A 4,833-nucleotide genomic window follows, 5' to 3' on the forward strand; every position below is an offset into this window, starting at 1 on the left:
ATCTCTACTAAAAATACAAAAATTAGCCGGACGTGGTGGCAGGCACCTGTAGTCCCAGCTACTCGGGAGGCTAAGGCAGGAGAATCGCTTGAACTTGGGAAGCAGAGATTGCAGGTTTTAAAATTCTCACAGGTAACTCATGAACAATGCCCTCTGCCCTTCTGAGTAAATCCTAAGCAAATGCATGGCACAGTACTCTCAACCCAGGCTGCACCCATGAAGAGGAGATCCTCAGTTAAAAGTTCTAATGGCCAATAATACTGGCTACTAGGCAATTATTCGAGAGGATTTAACCCAAAAATAGGAGCATTAAATCAAGAAACTATACAGGCTAAGGAAGAGGTATTATTAAGCAGAACAAGCTAAGATGTTTTATTAATCTTAAAGTCTTGACGATAATTATAAGGAGGTCAATAACTCAAAGTATTCGATGTGCTGCCTTTGCCCATTCTCTGCCAGAGTGCCCCAACTTGTTAACCTACACAATTGTTTCAGAATGCCACTGTTATTCCTACATGCTGCTGATAGAATGTAGTCCTTCAAATCTATAACAGTTAGGTAATCTGCTTTTTTAAAGGAAAGTGCCAAATCTATTGGTGTGTTGATAATTTGGTAATGAGATAAGTTGCTGAACAAGATAGATTCATTCATTCGTTCATCAAATATTCATCAAGTGACAATTACATGGCACTGGGAACGCAATAGTGAACAAGAAAAAGTCCCTGCCATCATTGCATGTACATTCAATGGTGACAGATGGTTTAATAAATAAGCAAATTTAATAAATCAGCAAATAAATAAGGAAATAAGATCCAATGTAAAAAGTACTATAGAAAAAATAAGCCAGGGTAAAAAAAAAGAGAGCAACTGGAGGTGGTTATTTTTGCTAGTCATTTCTAGGGATTTTCAGATCAATAGGCACTTTTCCTCTTTGCATCTAGGGGTCTGTACTAAAAATTTCAAGCTTCCTTTCCTAACTGCCATCCAGATGTTAAGAGATTGAGGCTCAGGTGGGTGCTGTGGCTCATGCCTGTAATCCCAGCACTTTGAGAGGCCGAGGCGGGTGGATCATGAGGTCAGGAGTTTGAGACCAGCTGGCCAACATGGTGAAACTGTCTCTACTAAAAATACAAAAAAATTAGGGGGGAATGGTGGTGGGTGCCTGTCATCCCAGCTACTTGGGAGGCTGAGGCAGGAGAATCTCTTGAACCAAGGAGGCAGGGTTTGCAGTGAGCCAAGATCGCGCCCCTGCACTCCAGTCTGGGTGACAGAGTGAGACTCCATCTCAAGTAAAAAAAAAAAAAAAAAAGAGATTGAGGCTCAAGCTTAGTGTCTGATCTACTTGTTGTCCCTCAGACCACATGAAAATGATTGACAAATATTTCAGTTCTGCAGGGTTACTGAAAACAAACAAAACAATTCCAGGCACCTGTTATTTAAACAGAAAGAAACTCAAAGACTCTTTTGTTTTATTCATATTAAAAAGCTTCTCGTTACAACAGGTCTACCATGCCAATTAAACAAAATATGGTCTCAACTATGGGGGTCACATCTCATCAACAGTGGTTGAAATTTGAGGATCCAGCCTGTGGGATATGATCAAAAGTCATCTGAGTGTGATGAGACATTCAGCTCTAACATCTCTAACCCTGGCAGCTCCAACTCTTTCCAGGACACCAACAAACTCCCCAGGTGTAGCAGATGCCACGTGGTCAACACAGCCTCTTAAAGTCCTTCCAGTGGAATGTTGCTAGGTTCTGGCTGCTTATGAACTGATTAGAGTTCCTCTAATTTATAGTTTTGTACCTCTTGAAAACCCTTATTAACAGTAGGCATTTTGGCCGGGCACTATGGCTCATGCCTGTAATCCCAGCACTTTGGAGGCCAAGGCAGGTGGATCACTTGAGGTCAAGAGTTCGAGACCAGCCTGGCCAACATGGTAAAACCCCATCCCTACTAAAAATACAAATATTAGCCAGGTGCGGTATCATGCGCCTGTAGTCCCAGCTACTCAGGAGGCTGAGGCAGGAGAATGGCTTGAACCTGGGAGGTGGAGGTTGCAGTGAGCCAAGATCACGCCACTGCACTCTAGCCTGGGCGACAGAGTGAGACTTTGACTCAGAAAAAAAAAAAAAAAGAAGAAGTAGGCATTTTAAGGGCTACTCAGGGGTAATAAAAATATCCGGTTAGAAGATTTGAACTAATATCTATGAAACTTATATATCTAAAGCAGTGTTTCTCAAAGTTTGGCCTCCAAACCAGCAGCATAGTACCACCTGAGAACTTGTTAGAAAAGCAAATTATAAGACCCCACCCCACACATACTGAATCAGAAATTATGGGGGTGAGGCCCAGCAATCTGTATTCAACAAGGTTATTCTGACGCACACTAAAGTTTGAGAGCCCACTGATCAAAGGCATCCTAAAAAGACACTGTCAATATTATGAAGGAGAAGCATAGTAGTAAACAGTCTGATGGATAATGCACCTAAAAATTCCAAGAACATGGCAAGCTGATGGAAAAAGCAAATCATTTAACTTTGGTTTTTTCCTTTTCTAAGAATTGGGTGCTGGTAACACATGGAACCATTTAGTTCTCTGGTTTAAGAAGCTGGCCAGAATCTGGGTCCAGATCTGGACAGAAGACAGGGATGTTGGAGAGGCCAAAGAAGAAACTATAAAAGTTCCATAACACCAGCAGATCTTAATATTTTATGGTAGAACTGGGCATTTTCATGCTCCACCCCATACCATGGCACATTAAAAACATGCCCTTCTGCTTTAAGCACAATCCCACCCTGCTTGTAAATTATTTTTTTGACCCTAAATATGGCACACATTTAAAAAGACATCATTGCAGTTTATGGATCTGTGTTTTTTTGCAAATGCAGGGGCCATTAATTGCATTCACAGCTGTGGTCTTCCCCATGCTATATGCATTAGGCTGCCAGTAATGCATTCTCTGTGAGAGCCAAGAAGAAAAGCCTCCTGTGTCCCTCTTATGGAGTGGCTTCCTTAAGCTCTCAGGCCCAAGCAGCACAGAAATCTAGCCCCTTGATATTTTGTCAATAAAAATGGGAAAAAAAACCTAACAAATAAAAAATAAGAAATTACATTCTCCAAAATAACTGTCATTACCAACTAAAATAGATGATGCACTTGGAAGAGAAATACAGAACTTACAATCAAGCAAACTTGTGGCCCCAATTTCCAAACCCTGGACTAAACTACAAGAAAAGTCCCTTTCCAGGCTAATTTCAAAGATGAATAAAGAACTGGATTCAACAGCCTCAGGGACTTGAGAACTCAAATGGCAGGCAAAATGATAAAGACAATGAAATTCATCTTTGGTGCTCCATCTTACCCCCATTTCTGTAACCCTCTCCCACCTCCAGGTAACCCTTCCTCAACACCCACATCCAATCTGTCAAATTACTTCACCTGTGCAATGTCTCACTCATCACCTTGACCCAAATGTCTAAGGCTGTGTAAAAACAGCATTGTCAGATTTCATAAATGTGCAATGATGACTCAAACTGAAAAGAGACATTCTGTCACAAGGAAAACAGAGCTTGTCAAATAAACTCATATTAAGATTAGGTAGCTCTCAAATTACAGGTTAGAGAGCTTTATTTTTAGACATAAGTTTTATATTTTGTATTTTATCTCAAAAACTAAATTTTAATAAATGGTACTTCATTTTAAAAACCAGGATTAATATTCATCATGAATCCATTAAAATGTATATTTGTCAATAATTAAGACCATTTCTGTTCTTCAAGAATTTTCACTTTTGGACTCTATTCTACTTTCTCTTGAGATTGAATAGCTTTTTTTTTTTTTTTTTTTGCCCGTAAAACACTTCATTCTTTTGCCATGTCCAAAATAAACCAATGTATATGTCTTTTACATTCAAATACCAGTCACTTAGGAGTTGGTAAAATTTGGTGCACTGCCTTCAGTAAAGTCAGAGAGGTTCTCAACAATGCTTAAATGTCTATCACTGGATAGTCTACTTCTAGGAGTCAAGTTCCCAAGCTTTCTTTGAACTTTGGTTTTCTCTCATCTCTTCTTTTTTCTTTCTCTGTTTCTCCCTGACAGCAAAAGGTCTAAGGAAAATAAACTAGATGTGAAAATATTTACAGGGTGTAGCTCAGAGAATTTCCACCTTGGACTCCCCACTTGAAGGAAAGTGTGACATTCAGGACTTTCATTTCCTGGTTTCATTTTCCCCTTGGCCATGTGTGGAAGGTGCGCTTGGTTTTCTCTTCTTTGTCATCTTGGTGAGGACCGAACAAACCACTCTATATGGTAACCTCCATGCTGCCTAAGGAGAAGGAGACGGATCAGCATGTGAGGACACGCTAGAACAGTGTGCCCCCAGCAACCCTGCAGGGAAGAACAGACACTGCAAAGTCAACAGCAGCAACCCAACCTGCCTTGGCTGTCCCTTGTCCCTCAGAATTATACCCTCAGATAAATGTATATAGGGAGGGAGTGAAGCCCCTTGGACAGAACTCACCCACAGCAAGTCAGTTGATGTGGCCCTGCTCTAGAAGGGAAAGAACCTAGTAGGAGAAACGCCTCCCAGCAATGGGGCTTCCCAGCCTGCAGTGGAGAGTGGGTGGGGACAGCACGGTGCCCAGTTCTGTCAGTAACTGGTAGTTTTCCATTAGACAACACAAGGCCCTCCCCAAAGCTGCCCAGTGGTGTTCAATCCAGTATGCCAGAAAAGTAACAGTATTACAATTCAGCTGTTACAAAGGACAACAAGGACAACAGCACAACTTTCTGGGAAGGAAAGACTCCTTTATGGAGAAAAAAGAGGGAGGT

At 41.1% G+C, this 4,833-nt stretch overlaps 1 annotated feature.

Annotated features, from left to right (window-relative positions):
• Positions 3,497-3,616: a silencer, noted in NCBI's record as "silent region_5648". NCBI's record gives its function as "represses an Ori minimal core promoter by ATAC-STARR-seq in GM12878 lymphoblastoid cells {active_cell/tissue: GM12878}" and the evidence as "EXISTENCE:reporter gene assay evidence [ECO:0000049][PMID:35858748]".

This window comes from Homo sapiens, chromosome 14, assembly GCF_000001405.40.
Source record: "Homo sapiens chromosome 14, GRCh38.p14 Primary Assembly".
Classification (NCBI taxonomy): Eukaryota; Metazoa; Chordata; class Mammalia; order Primates; family Hominidae; genus Homo; species Homo sapiens.